Genomic DNA, 25,943 nt, shown 5'->3' with positions numbered 1-25,943 from the left:
AAGTATAAGAGAATAATAAAAATCTTGATGTGGAAAATAAAATAGCATTATTTACAGTTTCTAGATAATCTATTAGAAATAATAAGAGATATATTCAGTTTGAAGAATCTAAGAAAAATTTCTGAAATCAATAGCACACTTTACCACAATAAAACCATTAGGAAATTGAAGTAATAAAAATACCATTCTCGATACAATCCCAAGTCATAAGATTTATGGAAATTAACCCAAGATTACATGTACCCAGAGTACATGTTCTTTATGAAAAAAAGTATAAAACTTGATTAATGGACATAAAAGAAGGCAAATAAATGGACATATTATAACTTATTGATAAATTAGAAAATTTGAAATCATAAAGATTGCATTCTCCCCAAGCAAAATAAGAAATTAAATACAATTTCAATCAAAATCTCATCAGGATATTTTATGAACTTGAAAAACTATGCTAAAATGTGTATGTAAATACTAAGGGCCAAGAACACCCAGCCAAATTTGGATATTTTCCCAACAAAATATCAAAATTTACTACAAAACTAGACCACTTTTAAGAATCCTATAGAAAGGAGGCAATGTAATAAATCTAAGAACAATTACGGAGTCATGTGTTACTTAATGACAGGATATATTCTGAGAAGTGTATCATTAGGCAATATTGTCATTGTGCAAACATCATTGAGTGTACTTATGCAAACCTAGATGGTATAGCCTACTAAACACCAAGGCTATATGACTGTTTTGCTTCTAGGCTTCAAAACTCTATAACATGGTAATGTACTGAATTCTGTAGGCAATTGTAACAGAATTGAAAGTATATGTGTATCTAAACATATCTAAATACAGAAAATGTACAGTAAAAATATGGTATAATCTTATGGTACTATCTTGTCTAAGAAGCCCATGATTGACTGGTGCATGTGGTACATTACTTTATACTTATGAGAGATGGCATTTTAAACCCCTGAGAAATAATAGAATATTGGCAATCTATAGAAAAAATTAAAATTGAATTCTAAAACACCAAATGTATTAAATTCCAAATGGATTTAAAATGTAAGTGTTAAAATTATTATAATATACTTTGGAAGATATCTATATAATTAAATGACATTTACACTTAAGATTTTATATCAATGAGCAATCAAACAAAAAAATGATCAACCAAATGAAAAAAAGAGAAAGCCTAGGGAAAGTGTTTGTAACACATAAAATTAACAAAAATACAAAATTGAGAGACTATCAAAGTCCTATAAATCTATTAAATGAAAAGGGAAAAACACCCTTCCTCAATTAAAAAAAAATGAACAAAGTTAGGAAAAGACAATTTATAAAATAGGAAAATCAAACTGAAAATATCTTCAACTTCGTTATTAATTAGAAAGTGCAAATTTAAATTTCAAGGTACCATTAAAACCATGTGAGGATTAATAAGTTTGAAATCGTTAATAAGTTTGAAAACACTAAGTGTTGACAAAGCTGTGGGGAAATAGAATCTTTTATGCTTTCCTGGAGGTAGCGCAATGAGACACAATAAATTTTGAAAGCAAAATGACAATATCTAATAAAGTTGTAAACTTGCATGAACTTTATTATTTAGTAATTTACATCCGTGAGTTCACAAGGGAATAGAGTTAAGCATGTTAATTGCATGACTATGTGTAATAGAAAAGAGAAGGAAGCAACCTAATTATTCCTCTGTAGAGCAATAGATAAATAAGTGGCTTAAGTACATGCATTCAACATAGGTGAATAGTAAAGAATAATTAAAATGAACAAACTAATTCTATTTTATGAAGTGTGGATAAACCTTAAAAATATTCTTGAGTTGTAAAAAGGAAATTACAGGCCAAGCACGGTGGCTCACACCTGTAATCCCAACACTTTGGGAGGCTGTGGCGGCTGAATCACGAGGTCAGGAGTTTGAGACCAGCCTGGCCAATATGGTGAAACCCTGTCTTTATTAAAAATAAAAAAATTAGCTGGGCGTGGTGGCACTTGCCTGTAGTCCCAGCTACTTGGGAGGCTGAGGTAGGAGAATTGCTTGAACCCAGGAGGGGGAGGTTGCAGTGAGCCGAGATCCCGCCACTGCACTCCAGCCTGGGTGACAGAGTAAGACTCCATCTCAAAAAAATAAATAAATAAAATAAAAAGGAAATTACAAAGCAGTATGTATATAATACTTTTTTTGTATGTTTAAACCATACAATAGAACAATGTTTATGGATGCATGTATATCTACCAAGCGACCAAAGCATATAGCAGATTGACATTCACCAATTTCAGGTGAGTGTTCCTTTGTAGGGATTTAGGAAATGGGTAGGGAAGGTGAAAGTGAACTTTAGTATACCTGTCACATTTCACATCTTTGCATGAATCAAAAATAACAAAATGTAAACATCTTTTTGGTGATAGTTGGGGGTATATTGCTATCCATTTAATTGTTTCATGGTTATTTGAAATACTTTGTAATAAAAATTTGGTGTACATGTATGTGTTTGTGTGTCCCTGTGTGTGTATATTTCAGACAAAGGAAAGTATGAACTCCACTGAATTGTTTGCTGATTATTCCACATATAGTTTATTATGCCTAGCTATTGTACACTGATTTGAGTGTAATATTTTAAGAGAGATGTTGACCATTGACAAAAGAAGTACCTCGACATGTACTTGAAGAGTAAGATAATGATTAATTGAGATAGGTACCTAACAGTATTTTAGTATCTACTGTATTCCAGATTTCCTATATGAGTGTGTAATTAATGTGTGTATATGTATAAATCAAATAAGTCAATATGTAGAAAATGAAACAACTACAATTGCTGAAGCCAGTGTTAAACCTACTTATCTTGATGAAAATATCCATGGTATTTTCTGTAATTCATACTTCCTTTCTGAAAGGATGTGAGGCAGGATGGTACCGTGGAATTACCCTGAAGGACCGGCAACCATGCAAAACTGAATACATGTCGCCTTAACAAGAAAATCTTGAGAGTTATTTTGAAAAACTTCCACAAGGAGCAATAGGAAAGGAAAACAGATTAACGTATTTTTGGTTGTTGAGACATCCAGATAGGATTAATCTGTGAGTAACAGTTAGAATGAGGAAAATATCAATTCACTAGGTATTGTTCTAGTTTCCAGTGGCTGCTGTAACAAGTTATCACAAATGTGGTGGCTTAAAACAAAGGAAATTTATTCTCTTACAGTTGTGAAGGCCAGAAACCCAAAATCAGTATCGTTGGACCAAAATCAAGGTGTTGGCAGGACTGTGATCCCTCCTGAGACTCTAAAGGAGAATCAACTTCTTGCATTTGCGGGGATTCTACTGGTTGTATCCCTCCAATCTCTGCCTCTATGGTCACAATGGCTCTCCCTCTTTCATAGCGTGTCAAATTTCTCTCTTTCTTTCTGCCTCCCTCAAAAAGGATACATGTGATTGCATTTAGGGACTACTCTGATGATGGGGGATATTCTCCCAAATCCTCTTTGCCATTTTAGATAACATTCATAAATTCCGTGGATTAAGATGTGGACATCCTTGAAGGACCATTATTCAGCCTACCACAGGTATGAAGCGACATTTTCACAAACTACTATGGACTCCTAATCTTTCTAATTGTCCGCCATCTCTTCACCCTTTTTCTGATTATGGGCACACCAATGTTGTGAAACACTTCTCCCAAACTCCATATAGATCTGATGAGAGGAGTCTAATTATAGCTCTCCACTTCTCTAGGATTGTGCACATGGTGTGGGTTTGTATCACATTTCAGAGGTGAAGATTCATACACCAGTGTGTGGACTCATGGCCCATGTCTGACTAATTGGACTTTATTATCTACTGTTATACGCAACCATATATGAGAAAGACTCTCTTTTCCTGGAATCTATAGCTAATCTGATTAAACTTTAAAGCTGGTAGTAGTCCGGTTCACTATCACAGGGAGGAAGCATAGTGAGAGGAGAAAAGAATGAGAGTAAAAAAAAGGCCGGGCGCGGTGGCTCACGCCTGTAATCCCAACACTTTGGGAGGCCGAGGCGGGCGGATCACGAGATCAGGAGATCGAGATCATCCTGGCTAACACGGTGAAACCCCGTGTCTACTAAAAATATATACAAAAAAATTAGCCGGGCGTAGTGGCGGGCGCCTGTAGTCCCAGCTACTCGGGAGGCCGAGGCAGGAGAATGGTGTGAACCCAGGAGGTGGAGGTTGCAGTGAGCCGAGATCGTGCCACCGCACTCCAGCCTGGGCGACAGAGCGAGACTCCTTCTCAAAAAAAAAAAGAAAGAAAAAAGAAAAAAGAAAAGAAAAAGAAAAAAAAAAAGAGAAAAACACCCCAAAGAATCAGAATGAAAAGAGTCCTCTTGGCATCAACTTTTGCCTCAAGTCAGTTCCATTTCTGACTTCTTTAGTTCTGTGAGGGAATTAAAACCCTGTTTCTGACTTCAGTTAGGCTGAGCTGGATTTCTAACACCTGAACAAAACTGTTTATTCTGTGGGGGAAGCAATTCACAATGAATGTACGATTGGACAGGAAGATCTCAAAGTTCCCTTCAAACTCTACAACCTCTTGCTTCCAAATATGCTTAAAAAAACCTGGGTAAAATAAAAAAAAATCAAAATATTGTCAGTTACAACACTGCACTTTGTATGACTTTTCTGAAACGTGGTATGTATAACACAGTTATGCTACAAAGTCACTGTTGAAGAAGAGGATACAATGTCAAACACAGAGGAACCTAAGCTTTTGCTTGCTATGGAGGATATCTCAATTATCAGTAGAAGCTGTAAAAATAAGCATCCATAAACCAGCTTCCAAATAAATAAAGAAACAAACAACTAGAGAAACAAATACTCAAAGTCCAGCAGCTATCCCTGAGAGTCCTAAAATATCTTGAAATTTCCTGAAAAAATTGCTCCAAATGATTCATTTAAATTCTGTTCCCAATTAATATTTCCTTTATCTCATTTCTTAAAAAAATTCTAGAATTCTGTATCAGAATTTATAAAATTTTATGTATGTGGATACTATATTGTCCAATTCAATAAACACACTGAAAAATGTCATACTATTGCTCTTATATGTTTATATGTTATTTAAGAGTTGATAAGATAGTTTATTTCTAGCCATTTATAAAATAAAACAAAAAAATTAATCAGGCCCTTGTTGTGGAACATAACTTCCTGTTATAATATTGTTTCCAAGGGGATATCAGAACTCAGATCCACCATTTCAACCTATAATGCCTTTTCCAGGAATGGAAACATAAGAATATTTGAAATATAGTTATAAAATATTACTTTTAAAACACAATTTTAGAAAGCATGAGATACCACATTCTAATTGAAATTAAAAACACCACCACTGTGATGTTTGGACAAATAATAAATAGATCTTGATACCTTAAATGTTGTCCCCAATCATCTAATGGATCACTCTTGAGATAATTAGCCCAAGAGTTTAAGTTGAATGTGAAGGATCATGATATTAATTAAATATGTACTTGTAAGATTTGTAAAGCAAAACATTATCCACACTGACATAGCAGCTCTTGTTCTTTGCGCAATGTGGAATAAAGCTGCTTTTTATCATAAAGAAAAGACACTGGACAAAAGATTATGTTTCAAAAGAAGATTGGTTGTGGTGAGCAGGTGGATCACTTTTGCACCCCTTTCCCATTTAATAATAAAAATTTCAGTTTATTTAAGGTATCTAAGTTTTAGCACACAGCCAAGCCTTGTATATAGCTGCCCATACCCCCATTTCCTAAGATAGGCAATATTTGACTTAAGTTAATCAGTATATTCTATACTCATGAGCAGCATAGAGGCAGACATATGTTGTAAACATTCCAATCGTGAGGAATCTCAGAGTTTTCTTGGAATGTTAAGACAAAGCATTCTCTCTTCCTCTGCATGCTGTAGTGTGTGAAATGTGAAAACTGGAGCCACCTTGAGGAATGCTGCCTGAAGTTTAAACCAACATGCACAATTAAGATTACACACACACACACACACACACACACACACACACAGAAACAAGCACACATAGGCCAGGACACTGAAATAAACTATAAACTGTCCCTGAAATGTACCCTATCTTTCGACTTCCATTGATGAGCCAACAAATTCTCTGTTGTTGGAGCAGTCTGAGTCAGATTTTCCATAACATGTAGCTGAATTCATTTTCTCAGATACAATCACCATTAGTAAATTAAGCATATTATGTTACTAGTATCTTTACCTCCAGTGTTTAAAGAATAACCTTTACATGAATGATAAATTATTGATATTAAAACAAAATTTAAAGTGTATCAACAAAAGAAAAAAATAGTTAAATCTAATTAACCAGAAAGTCGAGGAGAAGAGGAATTTATTTTTTTGAAATGTTCATTGTGTTGTGTTCACACAGGTTTCAAATAATATGGATTTATTAATAATATTTCTATGTTAAATCCTCACGAAGCATCTATGTATTTAAAGAGAAAGAACAGCTTACTTCAACTGATCATGAAATTATTCTAATTTAAGGACTAGTCTTAATGTCTAAGGACACTCAAAATGGGTCTTACTGTAATGGGACTCCTTAGACACTTCTCAAAGAAAGAGTTGCCTGGCCTTGGAACAAAAGAAGAAAATACAGATTCACTCAAAACAATAGTCTCTTAGAGTTTCAGGAGTAGAAATAAATTAAAATAGTATATAGATTTAAATTTTGCTGAAATTACTAAAACAGAAATGAGACAGGTCAGAGTAAATTATGACAGTTATGTAAGAAGAATCATGCATGTTTAAGCCTCAGAAGTATATTTAGCATCCCCTTTGGTATAAATGGTCTCTTGATCACTAAGAAACTGGGATACATATCTTATCTCCCAACTATAAGCAGGCATCATGGTATAGGAGAATATGCCCTTTCTGTTTTCTGCATCTATGATAAAGAAATCTCTCCCTATAATCTCTGCTGTTCCAAGAGAGTATAAGTAAAAATTTCCTCTCATTCCTGCAGCTCTTTCAGGCTTTAACCCCTCCCCATAATACAGTAGTGACTTATTCTTTAATCCATAAAAAAGCTAACATTTGGACCATTGCTGAACCTATCTTATCTCAATTTGTTCAGAATCCTTAAAGGTCAACTTAGAGGTCAAGTCACATCTTCAAATTCCAACAGAGAATTTATATGTACTTTGAACCACTTAAAACTTGTATTTATATGCTCACATTTTAAGTATTGAATGCTTTTTGATGAGTAATAATTTCACCAGAGAAAAAAGAGATTTCAAAAAAGAACACAGAACTAGATGATTATTTATAGGGAAAAAAGATAGATGTAAAATAATGTCTAAAGAGAAGAGCAGGAATGTGGCAGGATTATAATGTAATAATACTGTGTTATATCTTTGTCATAACATTAATAATGTTAAAATTGTACCCTAGCCATCCACTTTGTTATTAGATTTTGATTTGGATTATTACAGCAGTTTCTATGTGTTAGCTGCTTACACTGGTTCACACATTTAAATCTATGCAAGTATCTCATTTAATCTTCACTACACTCCATAAGAATATCACCAACCCCATTTGATAGATACAAATGTGAAGAATAGTGATAAAAATATCTGCCAATTCTAGAGCACGAGTGGGAGATAAATATAAGAATTATTTTACAATGCATAGGCTTTCACTATAAATTATACATTTTACTGCTTAACATGAACTTATGATCTTCTATGAAAAGGAATTTTCAGGGTTATCAAGTTTCCTAGGAAAAATAGTCAAAAGTTCTCTTAACGCTTTAAATAAAAAGAGCCCTATAAAATGTGATATTTTTAATGAAAACACATTATTTAATAGGGTTTTTATTAGATCTTAATTATAACATTTGAAAAACAATGAACATATAATTGAGTAAAACCATTCACTGTACTTTTGCCAAGAAGCAGTGAACATAATCCATGGTATGTCTTTGTGCTTGTTTCAGTGTTTGGATTGTATTCGAGAAAATAAATAATATTAAATCACAAAATGACACATACAGCTTGACTGAGTCATTAAGTTTTCAGTTAGACTAGCAAAGAAATAAAACATCTCTTTCAGATTCATCAGAATTTTTCAGCATAATTTTTCAATCCTGAGTCCACAAAGCACAACAGCATTCCCCATAAAGTTATGGTGGAGAGGATATGTTTAATTTACTTTTCTCCAAAAAGTTACTGTAAAACAATACAGTTTTAGACTATAGTCTCATAGTACCCTATCTTCAATTCATTGCACTTTACTATGGCATTCCTCCATTCTTTTTGTGCCTCCCTCTTCCTCTCTATTTATCCAAAACTTACCCATTTGTCAAGTCCATTATTTATCATGCCTGGAAAAGTTACTTAATAATTCATGCTAAGAACTAACCTTTTACATTTTATATCACCAATATTAATAATTTTTCACATATTAACACCATTGTTCACAAATTAATGTGTATTTTATAATCATAAAACTTTAAGTTCTATGAGGATATTGATTTTTAAATTAATCCTACCACAAAACATAACATTTTTAGGTTATAATAGATAATATATGTTTACTAAATTGAATAAATTGCCTCCATGAGATAGGTGGGTCCAGCCAGAGTGCATCCATTCAAACCTCCCTTAAGATAAAGCAAGTTCTCATGACTCATGTTATTGTAGAATGATAGATGTGAATGCAAATCTTTTCTCTCATCTTTTGCATAACTTCAAGGAAATTCCTGTGGCAAACTCATGGATCAGATAACAGAGAAGATTCTATGATTGCTGTAATTACAATTCTATTATTGCTGTAGTTCTATTTTATCTAAACACTTTGCTACATCTTGATGAAGTTCTGAGGCATTTCTTATAATACCAATGAACTGATGTATACAGGGAAACCTCCTATTCCAGACAGCTGATCATGACACAAACAAGATAAGATAAAAATTCTCCTATCATCTATTATAAAACAAGAGCTAAATTCATATAATACAGACATAATTATTTTGCTTTTCCAGTTTAAAACTGAAAACCACTATGGTTTTCCTATTTGAATATATAATATAAGTCCTCTCTCTCACATAAGTATATCTGAATGGATGAGGAAGACCACTCTTCCAATGATGACCAATCCATTAATCGACTGAATCAATCAGACAGTCTCTTCTGACAAACTGGAGACAAAGATTCTCAAAAGATAAGAAGACACTTAAGACAGAGAAAAAAGCTAAAACCAATCTATTATCAAAATATGATAGTCCACTTTTTTTTCTTTCTGATGCCATAATCGGCTTTTATTCTATTAATATTTGCATAATAAATCTCACTTTACTTGGGCAACATTGAGTAGGCTTATGGTCATTGAAATTAAACAAGACCCAAATATTAGTATTTATTAGTTGTGTTGGAATTGCAATACATTCTCAGAGAAAACCTAGAGAATGTAGAATTACTTTTAGGTCAAGTTGGCCTTATGTCTTAAATTGGGAAATAAGAAGTTTTCATCTGTAGTCACTTGACATTACATGTCCACTAAGGTTGTAACATTGGGGAACCAAACACTTTCTTCCATAGGATAGTCCAAATGGATTAGTAATACAGAGATATGTGGGATAGATAATTACTTATCAAAATACTAGGCAAGATTTTGAGAAAATAATTAACTTAATTGCTGGATTGGCAGTATTAACACACAAAAAGAAACACACCCATCTTTCAGTAAGAAGCCTTTACTACCTATAGTCAACATGCTGAGGTCTCTAAAAAACAAGTTCAGAAGGAGGTCCACATCATTTCTAAATTTTTCCCAACATTTTCTATTATGATAACTTTAAACATACAGGAGTATTATAGGAATTATACTATAATATCTGCACACCTGATGTCTAGATTCAGTAATTGTTAAATTTTAACTATATTATATACATGCTATGTACTCAATTGTTTTAGCAAAACTTGTTTTATACATTTGCTCATAGGTTTCAGATGTCAGATTTCTTTTTCTCTAAATCCTTCATCATGCATTTTCTAAGAATAAGATATTTGCCTATAGAAATGTCATTTGCATACTTAATAAAATTAGCAGTAATTTCCTAAAATCATCTAATATCCAGTTCTTACTCAAAAATTTTCTAACCTAACAATTTAGCATGAAGCTGATAGAACTAAGAAAAACAAATAATAAAATTCATCACTATGGTAGAAAAAGAGACTCACATAAGTAGCTTATTTGTCTAGGTAGAAAACATTGGAAAGTAGAAAATATTTTGAAATGTATATATTGCAAAAAAGTACATTTAATCAATTACTTAAAAATTTCTGTAAAAAGTTAAAACAGCTAATTAATGTTCCCCCAAATTGAAAATGGAAATAATAAAAACAAAAAAGATTTAAAAATTGAAAAAGGAAATAGCAAATATTATTTTAAAAAGAGCAGAATTTCATGAACTAGAAAACCAACAAATGAGAAAATATAATTTACAAGTCCAATTTTTCTTTTTTAAAAAAATTAATAACATTAACAATCCCATAAAACTGGACTAAAAATAGGTATTAAAAGGGCCCAAATGTTAATAGTAACAATGAAAAGGATAAAAACATTACATCAATAAAAGTGGTGAAAAGAAAATGAGTATGGTAGATTGACTGCAAAAATGGCTTCTATGCTTTTTCCCTCTGTCTTTTCTTTCACAATGTGACTTTGCAGGTCCTCCTATAGAGAGGTTGATTCTACTTCCACATCCTTTGAAGTAGGTCTTGTAGTTTTCTTGACCGACAAAATGTGGTGTAAAATGTTGATGTGCGAGTTCTAAGCAAAGGTCTCAAAAGGCCTTCCATGCTTCTAATCTCTCTCCCTCTTTCTGTTGAGCCCCTACTTTCTCCTTACGAACAAGCTCAAGTTGGTCCAAATGGATGAGAAACCATGTGAAGCAAAACCATTTGAGCCATAAAGGCATAGCTGAGGCTCCAGACATGTAAGAGGGCCCAGCCAAGAAAAGCAGAGCTGCTCAGCTTAACACAATTGACTGCTGCTGCGTAAGTGATCCCTCCAAGCCCAGCTCAGACTACAAGAACTGTGCCATGTTGCCAAGCAGAAAGTGCAATTCCAATAAAAACAAATTAAATAAACAAATAAGTAAACATGTAATAGTGAAAAGGCAGAACCAAAATTCTCACTATTTGCACATAACATGATGTCTTCACACAGAAAATCCCAAACAAATCTACATTTAAACTAAAATTAATGAATTTATGTAGCTCACCAGACCAAAAAACAAAACAAAACAAAACAAAACAAAAAAATCAAATCCATCCACACAAAGCAGTATATATTGTTTTAAGCCAGTAAATCTTAAGGTAGTTTATTTCACAGGGTGATTGTGGGAATACATAATCAAAAAAATCAGAATATTATAAACAAATTTATGCCAATAAATAGAAAAAAATAAATAAAATTCTTAGAAAAACAGATTTTCAAAACTGATAGAAGAAATAAAAAATCTAATTAGAATTGAATTTAAAAACCTATTAGAATTGAATCTAATTAAAATAATTATCTGGATAAAACTCCATATCCAGAAGAAACTCTGTACTCAAACCTTTAAACAAATAATAAATTATACCAGTCCTAAATAGCCACTTTTATAAACTGAGAATATGCCACATTCTTTTTATGAGTCCAGCATAACCTTGATACCAACATCCTAAAAAATAATTATTTCATCACTAAGTACAATGATAAACAAAATATTATCAAGAAAAATTATCAATTAATAAAATACAATGTATAAATTTTAAAAATGAATTTATTTCAGGACTTCAGGGGTGGCTTAAAATTTTTAGATCAATTAATACAATTTTCTAAATTAACAAAAAAGAGAATTATAATAATCATCTCAAATCCCATTTGTAATATTAAATAACAGAAAACTAGAAATAAAATAGAGTTTTCTTAGTCTGAAACAAGGCATTTATTTTAAAAATGGAAAGAATTATCAGATTTAATGATGAAATAATGAAAGATGTATGACTTCTGTAATGAGATAAGGATATCTCCTATGACCCATTAATAATTATCTGGCAAAGCCTAGCCAGTACAATAAGCCAAATAATTATATTGCAGAAATAAAAATCAACTTATGTGCAGACATGATTTTTTTTCATAGAAAATTCAAAAAAATATATACCTCAAATTATTGGGATTAGTTAATTGAGATGATCACTGGACTGGACATGAAGCTAGTATAAAAATAAATTGTAGTTACATATACTAGCAACAAACGGAAAGTAAATTTTTTGTTTGTTTGTTTTTAATGATACCATTTATAATGGCATGGATCTAATGAAGGCTGTGGAAACTTCAAGTAGAAAATAAACCATTGTTAAGAGATATTAGAACAAATAAAATAAATTGGGATATGCTATATTTATGAATTAGAAGACAATTCTCTCGTATATATAGATGCAACATAATCCCAATAAAAATGGTAGTGTTTTTTGAAGGGGATGGGAAATGACAAGCTGATTCTAAAAGATATGTAGAAATGCAAAGCAGGAAATAATAAAGTCAGTCTCGAATAATTGCAAATCAGCAATTTTATACTAATAGCTAAAAATCATCTTATAACACTTTACTATAAACAGTGTGGATTGAAACAAGGATTGATAAATAGACCAGTGGAACAGAATACAGGGTTTACAAACAAACCCACAAAAATGGAGAAAACTAATCTATGACAAAGGAGAAACTGTAGAGCCATAGAGGAAGCTTCATCTTCTCAATAAATAATGCCACCTTAACTGGATATGTATATAAAAATAATGTTGGCACCTATGTCAGACCATATGCTAGATTTCATTTTAGATGGCTTGAATTTCCAAATGTAAATAAAAAGTTAAAATGCTTTTAGAAGACTTTGAAGAAGAATTTTTCCAAGATTGCAGCAAATTCTTAAAAAAAAAGTCATTTTTTTTGTAGATTCAGGAGGTACATGTACAGGCTTGTTACATGGGTATATTGCATGATGTTGAGGTTTGGGGTAAAAATGATCCTGTGTCCCACATGGTGAGGATAGTACGCATGTTTTTTAATCCTGTTTGTCCTCGTAATCTATTGAGGCATCTTTATGTCCATGAGTACCCAATGTTTAGCTCCCACTTTTAAGTAAGACCGTGTGGTGTTTGGTTTACTGTTCCTCTGTTAATTCACTTAGGATAACGGCTTCCAGCTGCATCCATGCTGTTGCCTCAAAGGACATGATTTTGTTCTCTTTTACGGCAGCATAGGATTCCATGGTCTATATCTACCATATATTTTTTAATCCATTCCTCTTCCCTTTTGATAATCACCTTGGTTGATTCCATGTCTTCACCATGGTGAACAGTGCTGAGATAAACACACAAGTACATGTGTCCTTTTGATAAGAATTTATTTTCTTTTGTATATATAACCAGTAATGGAATTGCTGGGTAGAATGATATTTCTCTTTTATGTTCTTTGAGAAATCTCCAAACTGATTTCCACAGGTGCTAAACTAAATTACATTCCCATTAACAGTATATAAGCATTCCCTTTCCTCTGTAGCCTCACCAGCACCTGTTGTTTTTTGACTTTTTAATAATAATCACTCTCAGTGGTGTGAGATGTTATCTCACTTTGGCTTTTATTTGCATTTCTCTGATGATTAGTGATGCTGAGCATTTTTTTCATGTGTTTAGAAACTTAAACAATTCAACAAGCAAAAAACCAATAACCTCACTAAAAAGTGGGCAAAAGACATGAACAGACACTTCTCAAACGATCACAGCAAATTTTGATGGTGTACCATTTGTATCCCCCAGCCCTTCTCTGAATACACCTACCTGTATTATGGACTGGTTCTGTATGTGCAGATAAATTTTCACATTAAGCACTGAGCTTGTCTTCTCTGTGTCAAGATTTTCTCTGGCAATATTGCTTGAGGTAATGATGCTACTCCTGCTAGGAACAATAATATTTGAATCAGCACACCATCTATGTTTTACTGGTATTATTTTCCAATTTTCCCAATCAGTATAAGCTAATTAGCCTCATAAAGGTGTGTGTTGTAGCGGAACACACTATACTTCTTAGGAAATATACTTTTTATTGAATTCTGCAGAAAGCAGATATTGTTAACTTTCCCCATTAGTGATGATAAATTTGATTACTTCATTAAGGCAGTGACCACCAAATGTTTTCCATTATTTTTAAAAAATGTTTTTCGAATTGCAAATAATCTGGAAGTGACATTTTATGATCACATGAATCCTCCTCTCCAAAATAATTCCCCTTCAATTTTAGGTGAATGATAATTTTTGCCTGAGTCAATCATTTCATTAACAGTTGAAAAATGTTAATTTTTTAAAAAATTTATTACCTTATGTTGTTCTGTAAAAATATTTTCCTCACCACTTGGGATTCACTGTATCTCCTCATTACACAAAGTAAATGTCTGGTTTCCATTTAATTATCAATTTTTAGAGTAAGAAATTGGTGTTGTAACTACTTTTGAAGATAGAATACTTGTTATATTAATTTGGTTTTATTATTCTTGCCTTTTTTTTTTTTGTAGAAAATCATGGCTTTCTTTTTCTTATTCTTTGAGGGACAGGGTCTCACTCTATTGCACAGGCTAGAGTGCAGATCACAGCTCACTGCAGCATTGAACGCCTGAACTCAAGCAGTCCTTCCACCTGAGGTTCCTGAAGCGCTTGTGACTTTTTATTTCTTCATCCTTTCCTTCTCTCTCTCTCCCTCCATTCTGTCCTTCTTTTATTCACTTGATTCTTTTTTTTTTTTTTTTGACTTTTAAGTTCAGGGGTACATGTGCAGGTTTGTTACATAGGTAAACTTGTCATGGAGATGAGTTTTAGAGATTATTTTATCACCCAGGTATTAAGCCTACTAACCATTAGTGATTTTTCCTGATCTTCTCCCTCCTCCCACCCTCCACCCTCTAATAGGCCTCAGTGTGTGTTGTTCCCTTCTATGTGTCCATGTGTTCTCATCATTTAGCTACCACTTGTAAGTGAAGACATGCAGTATTTGGTTTTCTGTTCCTATGTTTGTTTGCTAGGGATAACAGAATCCAGCTCCATCCATGTCCCTGCAAAAGACATGATCTCATTCTTTTTTATGGTTGCATAGTGTTCCTTGGTGTATATGTACCATATTTTCTTTATTCAGTCTATCCTTGATGGGCATTTAGGTTGATTCCATTTATTTGCTTTTGTGAATATTGCTGCAATGAACATACATGTGCATGTGTCTTTATAGTATAATAGAATTATTTATATTCCTTTAGATATATACCCAGTGATATAATTGTTGAGTCAAATAGTATTTCTGCCTTTAGGTCTTTGGGAAATCACCACACTGTCTTCCACAATGGTTGAACTAATTTACACTCCCACCAACATTGTATAAGTGTTTTTATTTTCCTCCACAACCTCGCCAGCATCTGTTTATTTTTTCTTTTTACTTCTTAATGGTAGCCATTCTGACTGTTGTGAAATGGTATCCAATTGTGGCTCTGGTTTGCCTTTCTCTAATAATCAGTGATATTGAGCATTTTTTCATATGAGTTGGCTATATGTATATCTTCTTTTGAAAAATGTCTGTTCATGTCCTTTGTCCACATTTTGGTTTTTTTTTTTTTCTTGTAAATTTGAGTTCCTTGTAGATGCTGAATGTCAGACCTTTGTCAGATGCATAGTTTGCAAAAATTTTCTCCCATTTTATAGGCTGTCTGTTTGCTAGGTTGATACTTTCTTTTGTTTTGCAGAAGCTCTTTAGTTTAATTAGATCACATTTGTCAATTTTTGCTTTTGTTGAAATTGTTTTTGGCATTTTCCTCATGAATCTTTTGCCTGTGCCTATGTCCTTAAAGGTATTGCTTTCCAGAGTTTTCATAGTTTGTGGTTTTACATTTAAGTCTTCAATCCATCTTGAGTTAATTTTTGTATATGGTGTAAGGAAGGGATCCAGTTTCAATCTTCTGCATATGACTAGCCGGTTATTCCAGCACCAATTATTGAATAGGGAATTCTTTCCCCATTGTTCGTTCTTGTCAGGTTTGTTGAAGATCAGATAGTTGTAGGTGTGTGGTCTTATTTCTGGGTTCTCTATTCTGTTTCATTGGTCTATGTGTCTGTTTTTGTACCAGTACTATGTTGTTTTGGTTACTGCAGTCCTGTAGTATAGTTTGAAGTTGAGTAGTGTGATGCCTCCAGCATTATTCCTTTTACATAGGATTGCTTTGGTTCTTCAGGATCTTTTTTTGTCCCATATGAATTTTAAAATAGTTTTTCTAGTTCTGTGAAGAATGTCAGTGGTAGCGTAATAGAAATAACACTGAATCTATAAATTCCTTTGGGCAATACAGCCTTTTGAATGATATTGATTCTCCTGTTTAACTAAAATCTTGTATCCTTTGACCAATATCTTTCATCCCAATCTTCCACCTTCTCCCAATCCCTGGTAACCACCATGACACTCTCTCTTCTATGAGTTCAAAGTTTTTAGATTCCATATATAAGTGAAGCCATACATTACTATCCTAGCTTATTTCACTTAGCATAATGTTCCTCATGTTTATCCATGCTGTTGCAAATTGCAGGATTTTCTTTTTTAAGGCTAAATAGTGTGCCATTTTTGTGTTCATGTGTATACATATAGAAATGTATACCATACTTTCTTTTTACATTCATTGACTGATGGACACTAATGTTAATTCCATATCTTGGCTGTTGGTAAACAATTTCATAATTAACATGGGAGTGTAGTTACTCTTTGACATATTTTATAAATATTATGAGTTCATATGAAAGTATCCAAATTAAATTAGTTATTACAAGTTGTTAGTAAATTTTCTTGAACTTATATTTGTATATCTTTTCTATTACATTTAAACTTTAATTCCTAACAATATTCATATAATTACTTGTTTGCTTTATCCTATATTTATACAATTATTTGAAATTGTATTATCAACATAAATATGAACAGTAACCTAATAAGTAAGTGTAAGATTATTTAGCAGATTATTAAATGTACTATGCTACTAATATCAGAATTTGTTTGATAAAAATCTGCCTCATGCAAGTGAGCACAGAAAAACAATCTGCAGAGAGAACAAATAAAAAGACAATTTAAAAGAGAAGTGAAGATGTGAGACCATGTATCCCTAGGTATCACAGAGAATATCCTTGGTTCATTTTTGATTGATGTCTTTCTAAGTCTTTGTTTCAGGATACCCTGAGACCTATTGCTTGATTCATCTTTGGTTATTATGACATATATTTTAATACATTAAATATTTTAAGAACAAATATTTAATAATAAAAATGTTAATATTCCATCATCACCATAGTTTCTTTTTTTTTTTTCTTTGCATGTTGTTTGTTTGTTTCTTGGAAGCAATTAATACCTTGAAAAATTAAAAAAAATTCATTTAAAAGTTGATAAATCTAATAATTGGGGCTATGACAAAACTAGCACAAAGGCTCACAACTAGGATAAATGAGTACTAGGTTTGTTTAACACTATACTGATATTATCCTTTAAAATATTAGACATTTTCTATTTTCCCAGATGATCCAAGAACTTATTTTCAAGGCTTACCTTGTCTCTTTGGTGTGAAGTAAGTTCATTACCAGAATTTTTTTCCTGCAAAAGATTTGACCATTGAGAATATATCTTATGAGCAGAGGAGAATATTTTGGAAACTATACAATTGTGAAAAACTATAGCTCAAATGCATTTGACCTCTTACAGTTAATCCAAATAATTAAGAACTAAATATGCAAGAATCACTACAGGCATGAGCATCAAAATAGGTCTGTTTCTAGTGATACCAACTTAGCAGCAGGAGTCATTGGAAAATAACCAGAAATTTTTTGCTTTTTACTGTTTTCAGAAGAGTACAACTCTCTCAGCATTAAGTTTTTCATGTCAGCCAAAGCAAAAAGAAGGAAGAACCAAAGCTTTCCCACATTTGCTTTACTTTATGCCTATCTCATATGAGAATTTTAGCAAAGTTTTCTCTCTGGATTATAAAAACAGAAATCTGTTTGTGGTAGATAAGTGGGAATCTATATAAGAATATGTATAATTATAGCAAAAATTAATTAGTTGGTGATTTATAAATTTTACGTGCAGTTTGTCTAGAACTTTTATGGTAATCATGACATTAATATTTTAGGAGTCAAATAATCCACACAACACAAATCTATTTTCAGTAACTTTTAGTACCTCACATGTTAACTTCTAATTGTTAATTTTACCTCAGTGCCCTACTAGGACCATTTCCTCATTTGTATGCAGTTTTATAAAGTTTTTGGAATATTTTAGACTTGTATTTGAAGAACTATTTTTTAGAATATTTTAAAATTTACATTGCTGAAAAGCAATTTAAAAGTACATGATAAATGATATCTTTAAAACAAGTTTCAAGTTTTGATAGAAGCAAGTAGTTAGTGGCCAAAAAGTGACTTTCTTTCTATGACAATTCCAGAATTATATGTAAAGCCATGGACAATAATATTAGCTGTTACCTGCACAAAATGTGCCTTATTTTCCAAGTCAATCATTTATCTTTTATGGATCAATTTCTAACTTCATTCAATAAATTTTTTCCTTACTTTCAAACTGCTTACCTTACATTACCTTCTAGCAAATTGTGATAATATTGTTACTCTTAAGGCAGATAGATTTAGAATTAGTGTATCCTCATAATGTAATATTTTACTATTAAAATATTATATTAGTACCATATATATCAACTTTTTAAATAATTAAATGAATGTTTTAATATAACAGTAAAGAGTATATAAAATATAATCATATGATTGATATGAGATTGATTATTTTTAAAAGGAAACTACCATTTCATTGATAGAAAGAAGCAAATTGTGTAGAGTCATTTTAGGATTAAGCACCTGCAATATATTCTGATATCCAAGAACAGAACTAGGCTGAAGCTAAAATGAAGCCTTGTGTGATCATTTTCAGCATTATAATTTTCTGCAAAATTTGAGTGATTTGCAAAACTGTGATAGATTTCCCTGAATAGGATGGTGGCAAAGGCTTTGTAGATTCAAAAATAGTTTTGCTGAGGCAATGAGAAGTAATACTATCAGATGAGAAGTTGGTTTACCAAGCTAAAAAAAAAAAAAAAAAAAAAGCTGAGAAAAATTTTGCCTCTAAACATTGCAAAGTCCTACTTCCCTTATTTTTGTATAATTATTTTTCATTTTGCTCTTAATATTTCTCTACTGAGGAAAAATATAATTGTATTTGCAATTCAATAATTAAAGTTGTCATTAAACAATAAAAATTTTATAAATGTAGTTATCAAAAGTGAGTTTACATTTCTGGAATGATTTGAGAATGTTTCTAAGCTAAAATATATAAATGTTGTCATTAAGCTCCCGCTTATAAGCGAGAACATGCAGTATTTGGTTTTCTGTTATTGTGTTAGTTTGTTAATGATAATGGCCTCCAGCTAATACCTGAATGATGAAAAATTCTGTAAAACAAATCGCCATGACACAAGTTCACCTATGCAACAAAGCTGCACATGTGCCCCTGAACTTAAAATAAAAATTAAAAAAAAATCTAAATTAAGAAAAATATTTTTAGATGCTGGGCTTTTGAATACTTAACACAGGACAATATCTCATAAGCATGTTTTCACCTTCTCTGAAGTAATATTACCCTCTGTTTTTGCTAATGCTTGAAAAAGTTACTTCATGTAAAATTTTAATATTTATAGTTGTTGATAGGATGATAAGGCTCCTATCATAAGAATATCAGCTACTTCATTATGATCAGAACCAGAAGTCCCAAGTACAGGCAAATCATAACTTTCTTCAAAAGTGTATAGCTTAAACAATTTCTAACTTTTTTATAATTGTAATATCTCATTTGAAAACTTTCAGTTCTGATATATTTTTATTTTTCCTACAATTCTTAGAAACTGTTGAAGGGAGCATAAGCTTCCCAAATGAGCTAGAATTTCCATAAACAATAAAGACTCTGAGCAAAACTTATTCCTTGACTCATTTAACTGTAGACCCAGTTGAAGCTTTCAATCAATTATGGTTTTAATTTAAAGTAATAAAAATAACATCTTCCTAAAAATTAAATTGAGGCAACTAAATATTTTGTGTCAGTTCTAGAATCCTCATGAGATATCATAATACTTGGTCACTGACAATAGACACTGAATTTACATGTAAAACTTAGAGGCAAAAGGCTTCATATCCCATTATGTGTTCCCTCAGTCATGAAACTGAGACTTTTTAGAAACTGCAGTATAGAGATTTCATGCTTATTAAGGAAGGCCAAAGTGTGATGATCCAATGAAATGTGACCAGTTTGGAGGGAAAGAGTCACTCTTTACAAATGGTGAAGGATTTAATAATTTATTTAAAATTTAGGAACATAAAGAATGTTAATAAGAATCCTACAATACATATTCAGCAGGCTAAACTGCTTAAAATTATGCCAGTAAATAGATTATTTTTTATGTGGCAGGAATTTGTTGTTTTAAACTAAGTGCTGGAGAGAGAAGAGGTCACAAATGCACTTTTTTTTTTTTCCAGTTTAGGCCATAGGTTTTTCTTGCTTGAATCCTTAAACAATTCAAGGATTCAGCAATTTGGCTGTGGTTTAGGTTCTTAATTTCCTGCCAAACTTCTTGTTGTTCAGAACAGGCAAAAATACATCTATTTTGATCATAATTATGCCAAGCATCTTTAACAGCCTATACACAAGACATAAAGAAAAAGTGAAAGGAAGATGCTGACTTAATTCAGTTGAAGACTTAATTAGGAACTCAATTCTATCAGACATTTAATATTGTATTTTATTCTCATATTTTTCTAATAGAAAATAATGGCATGGCAATTGTATATGATTATGAATAGCTATTTATGGAACTGGTTCTTGCGTCTACACTTAATTACATTTTGTTTGGAGGTTAACATATTACAACTGTAGCTTTTATTTCAATCTATTCTTATAGTTTTTCTTTCTCATTAGGACTTAGATTGCTGGTTTGTAGGATCTCTTGCTTATGATTTTCTCTATTTCTGTTTTCTATTTCTAGGCCTATTCTCTAGTGCATTATTCTTGATGACTTTTAAGTCATTTACGGTTAGAAGAAAAGCAATAATTCATTTTTGCCGTATGCTGGTCTTGATAAACAATGTATTTATATGCTAAATAAAAACATGCTGTATATTTTGTGATTCCTAATGAATACATTTGATTTTTGTTTAGCTTGTCTTCTGTCTTTACCCTGCTATCTACCTATTCTGCTACAGGATCATAATTCCTAAAGCCTACCCACCTCAAGTCACACAAATATACATTGAAATAATCATGGATATTCACCATAAACATGGAATTGTTCAGTATGTTTCATCGCTTCATGTTTCTTCCTATCCTGCAAAATAATTTAGAGTCATTCCTTTATTTACAAATATCATAGAATTAATGCATTTTATGTAACCAATAATAAGTCTCAAGAAAGATGAGACTAGATTCATGTTTCCATTAACATCCTTACTTGACAGCAGCATGATTTCTGTAACGTCTAACACTATACCTGACCTAATCGTTTTCACTATTTAGTAATCCCTTGCTAAGTACTTTACAAAGTTACTCTAAATTATACTGGATGAGACTATTTAAATAAATAAATCACATAATTGCATTTTATTATTATTTTATATTACCTAGAAATGAAGTCAATATTATACTTCATAAATTGAAACCATGTCTTGCTAACATGTTATGATATTCCAACCAACAAATAGGTTCTTATTTTTACTCATGGGATTCTGTAATCAATAACTGGCTGGTAAAGAATATGTCGAAATCAATCAAGTTGTAGATACACACTCAATGGATGGATGAAGAGAGGCACTAGGTCTGCTCATAAAATTGCACTTTCCATCTGACAATAGAAGCTATTTTTTCATTAGAGTTCCAAATATCTCAGTGTTTGGGGAAGTCTCCAGGTAATATATGCAGTGAAGAATATTACTAGGCACTGGGAAACAATAGGCTTCCATCAATCAACATATATTTGAATATGAACAGCTTTTAGGGAAGCTTTGGGTATTTTTTCTTTCACTGACATTGATGTTAATTAAGTATCATAATTTAATGAACCCCCAAGAAGATTGACATTTGTACAATTAATCTTCACCTGGCACACAAACCTGATCCTCTGAATCAGAATTTCAGACAACAGGTACTGCCGCTGTGCACATACAATTCTGACACCGACTTGGCTTCTAAGTCTCCCATTATATTCCTAAGCATGGCAGCATAAAATAAATGAAGCTAGACAAGGCTTCAGACACAATCTTGCTTTACTCACTTGAGATGAGTATATAGAATGAGTAGGGACACCATCAACTCTGCTAAGGTTTACTAAAAATCCAGGGCAGCCATGGTGGGATAACAAAATAATAATTTATAAAATGTCTTCCATTATATTTGCATATGTTTTTACATGCATTCTCATTTATTCTAGATTCTGGTTAAGGTATTTGCTTTTACCTGCTCAAATTTACCGAGTAATTTCCCACTGGAGGACTCATTACCTCTGAATTTTTATTCCGCCTTTGTTTGGGGGATAAAATGCTCAGCTTTCTTAAAATAGTCACTGGCCAGATAATAGACTCACAATGAATGGCTTACTCCAGTGTTTTTCAGCTTCTAGGGTGACGCACTGATGGGTTTTTTATAACAATTTGTTGAAGTGTAACTAGCATTTGTTTACTTATGGAATGGAATGGAGTAGACTAAAGTAGACCAGAATAGAATAGAACAGAATAGAGTGAATTGCACATAGCAAAGCTAAGTGTTTTTCAGTTATATAGATGTGTGTGTATCTGCATTAGATTGTAATGCAACATGTATTTTTGCATGTATTTATCATTGTGGGTTGCCAAGTTAAAAACATTTGAAAGTCACTTGCTTTTTCTAATCAGGACTCACTCCAGGAGACAAGGTATTATAGCCGAACTGCATGACTGATATGTAAGTGAGAGAAGTGAAATGGATAATGAGAAGACAACTCCAATGCCTACAATGATGAAATTGTAACATGACCCCAATTTTTAACCTCTCCCCTTAAATTGCAGATAAGATCTATGGATATGATGAGATTACTCCTGAGATTAGGTTACTTTTTTTTTTGAGACAGAGTCTCGCTCTGTCGCCCAGGCTGGAGTGCCCTGGCATGATCTCCGCTCACTGCAAGCTCCGCCTCCCGGGTTCACGCCATTCTCCTGCCTCAGACTCCCGAGTAGCTGGGACTACAGGTGCCCGCCATCACGCCCAGCTAATTTTTTTGTGTTTTTAGTAGAGACGGGGTTTCACCGTGTTAGCCATGATGGTCTCGATCTCCTGACCTCGTGATCCGCCCGTCTTGGCCTCCCAAAGTGCTGGGATTACAGGCATGACCCACCGCGCCCAGCCGAGATTAGGTTACTTTATAATGCAAAGATGAATGGATTTTGCAAATATAATTAAGGTTTCTATTGAGTTGTATTTGTGTTAATCAAAAGAAAGATTATCCTAGGTGGGTCTGACATAATGACATGAGCCTTTTAAAAAAGGATCTAGAGGTAAAAGAGAAGAAGCAGTAGTAGATTTGCTTTCCTTGGCCTTTGAATATCAAATTGCCATGTGGAGAGGGTCATGTGGCAGGGAATAGTGGATAAGTTCTAGAAATCAAGAGCTTCTATCCTGCTACTACAAGGAAATGAATTGTAGCAACAACCAAGGAGCTGAAAGGAGATTTTTAACTTCAGATAAGATTGCAGTCTCGCAGCTGACACCTTGATGTCAGCCTTGTGAGACACAGAACAGAGGAACCAGTTAAGGTGTGGTCAAACTTCAGGGGAAAAAAAAAAATCCTGAGGTAATACATGACTACTAAGTTACTAAATTTATGAAAATTTGCTATACAGCAATAGAAAACAAATATAGTTGTCTATCTAGATTCTAGAAGCATGGTATCCCTTTTCTTTGTCACAAAGCCCTAATTGATCACTGCTGGGAGAGACAACATTTGTTTTTACTATCCAGTTGAGTTTCTGCAGCCAGATCTATAATTAGTAGTTCCCTTCACACTAGTGCATGTCAAATGAGTGTCTTTCCCCTCCTGACTTTTCATTATATGCCCTAATCCTTGTGAAAAGCACAGGGAAAAATATACCTGGGTAAGAAGGAGCTTTTGGAATATAATCCTCACATATTTGTAAAGTAGATAATATTAACCTGCTTTGCAGTGAGAAAGCTAGAATTCAGAGGGGTTCAGGGAATTTTTTTTTTTTTTGGAACACATAGCTGCTATAGCTAAGTCTTAGAGTCTCTCTAAAATTATTATTTTCTCATTCAATTTCTCTCTTTTTTTTTTCTTTTTGAGACAGAGTCTTACTCTGTCAACAGCCCAAGCTGTCTTGCAGTTGCTTGATCTCGATTCACTGCAACCTCTGCCTCTTGGGTTCAAGCAATTCTTCTGCCTCAGCCTCCCGAGTAGCTGGGATTACAGGCGTGCACCATCATGCCCAGCTAATTTTTGTATTTTTAGTAGAGATGGGATTTCACCATGTTGGCCAGGCTGGTCTCGAACTCCTGACCTCATGATCCACCTGCCTCGGCCTCCTAAAGTGCTGGGATTACAGGTTTGAGCCACTGTACTCAGCTCAATTTCTCAAAGCAATAAAAAATTTAATTTGTTCACTGTAAAGCAGAGTTCAAAGTAAGATTAGTTGTGTGATTTTAGCAAAGTTACCTAACCTAGCTGAACCTCTATCTTCACATTTCCATATTTGGCACACACGTGTGTCTGTGTGCGCCTGGGTGGTGGGGGGAGAGAGAGAGAGAAGGACAGTGGTATTTAGCTACACTTCAGAGTTGGAAATTAATGAGATGACTACTGAATACATATTTTAAAATTACTTTAATCACTGTCCAAATTCTGTAAGCTGTCTTTATTATGTAACAAAACAGTTTATAATTTAATTTCAAAGTTAAAGTGGACTAATATCCCCCAGCAATTCAGTAAAACCTTTGCAATGCAATTTTTCAATAACTGAAAATTTAGGATGATTTAAATAGAATGAGATCTGAAATTAAAGAGGGAAAAAAGAATAAGCTATGCATACTAATAGAGAAGAGAAGATATCCAGAAGAAATTTAACATATTTAAAAACATTTTATTGTAATAAGATATTATTTACTATAAATTATCCTTAGATAGGTTAAAAGATCTATACCTAGTAAATTTTTATTAAATATTGTCATAAATATTTGTGTACCTGACTTTACATTGAGTAACTATTTATGTTATTTGAATTTGTCTAATTGAATTTGCTTCCTATAATTTATTTGCCACTTTAATGAGTTTTTTTGTCCAAAGCTTAAAAGTTGTAAATCAAAATTATCTGAATATGTTAAAACTTTAAAATGTCTAAGAAATTTTTGTAAAAATAAAATCTAAATCTAATTTCTAAATGATTTTTACCCTTTCCCCCGAAAAGAATCAGTTCTCATGGCTTAAAATTGTATACAAAAAGCATCATCTGACAAACAGTATTTAAAACGGAAAACAATCCATGAATATGGATCTTAGTAGAAGTTAATTGTGCACTCACAGCACACATCTGCACTAGATAGAAGCTAACCCTTTCATTAGTACAGTAGAATAAGAAGGTGCCTGCTTTTGCAAATCCAAATTAATGACATTCTGGTGTCTCTGTATGTGTACATTTATGGTTTGCATGTCTTCACTTATCAGGGATCATGGTGACAATGACTACATGACTAATATTCCCTTTTACATTCATCAGAATTTTTTTTGCCAAAATTTATTACAGTACCTGAT

The 25,943-nt window shown here is 32.7% G+C and overlaps 1 long non-coding RNA gene across 3 annotated transcripts in view; it reads right to left on the bottom strand.

The window, feature by feature from the left end:
* Nucleotides 1-25,943, bottom strand: part of TSG1 (tumor suppressor TSG1) — a 72,604-nt gene that overhangs the window by 18,518 nt on the left and 28,143 nt on the right. For 2 of the 3 annotated variants that reach the window (NR_152794.1, NR_152795.1), the window contains 4 exons: nt 21,431-21,482; nt 17,654-17,698; nt 13,873-13,987; nt 11,345-13,396 (listed from right to left, as the gene is read on the bottom strand). This is a non-coding gene — a long non-coding RNA (tumor suppressor TSG1). Of the gene's footprint in view, nt 1-11,344; nt 13,397-13,872; nt 13,988-17,653; nt 17,699-21,430; nt 21,483-25,943 lie in introns of those variants that run through there. The other variant, NR_015362.2, reaches the window with a different exon arrangement.

Source organism: Homo sapiens, chromosome 6 (genome assembly GCF_000001405.40).
Source record: "Homo sapiens chromosome 6, GRCh38.p14 Primary Assembly".
Classification (NCBI taxonomy): Eukaryota; Metazoa; Chordata; class Mammalia; order Primates; family Hominidae; genus Homo; species Homo sapiens.
Note: the sequence above shows the minus strand (reverse complement) of the source record. Positions and strands in the feature narration are given on the sequence as shown.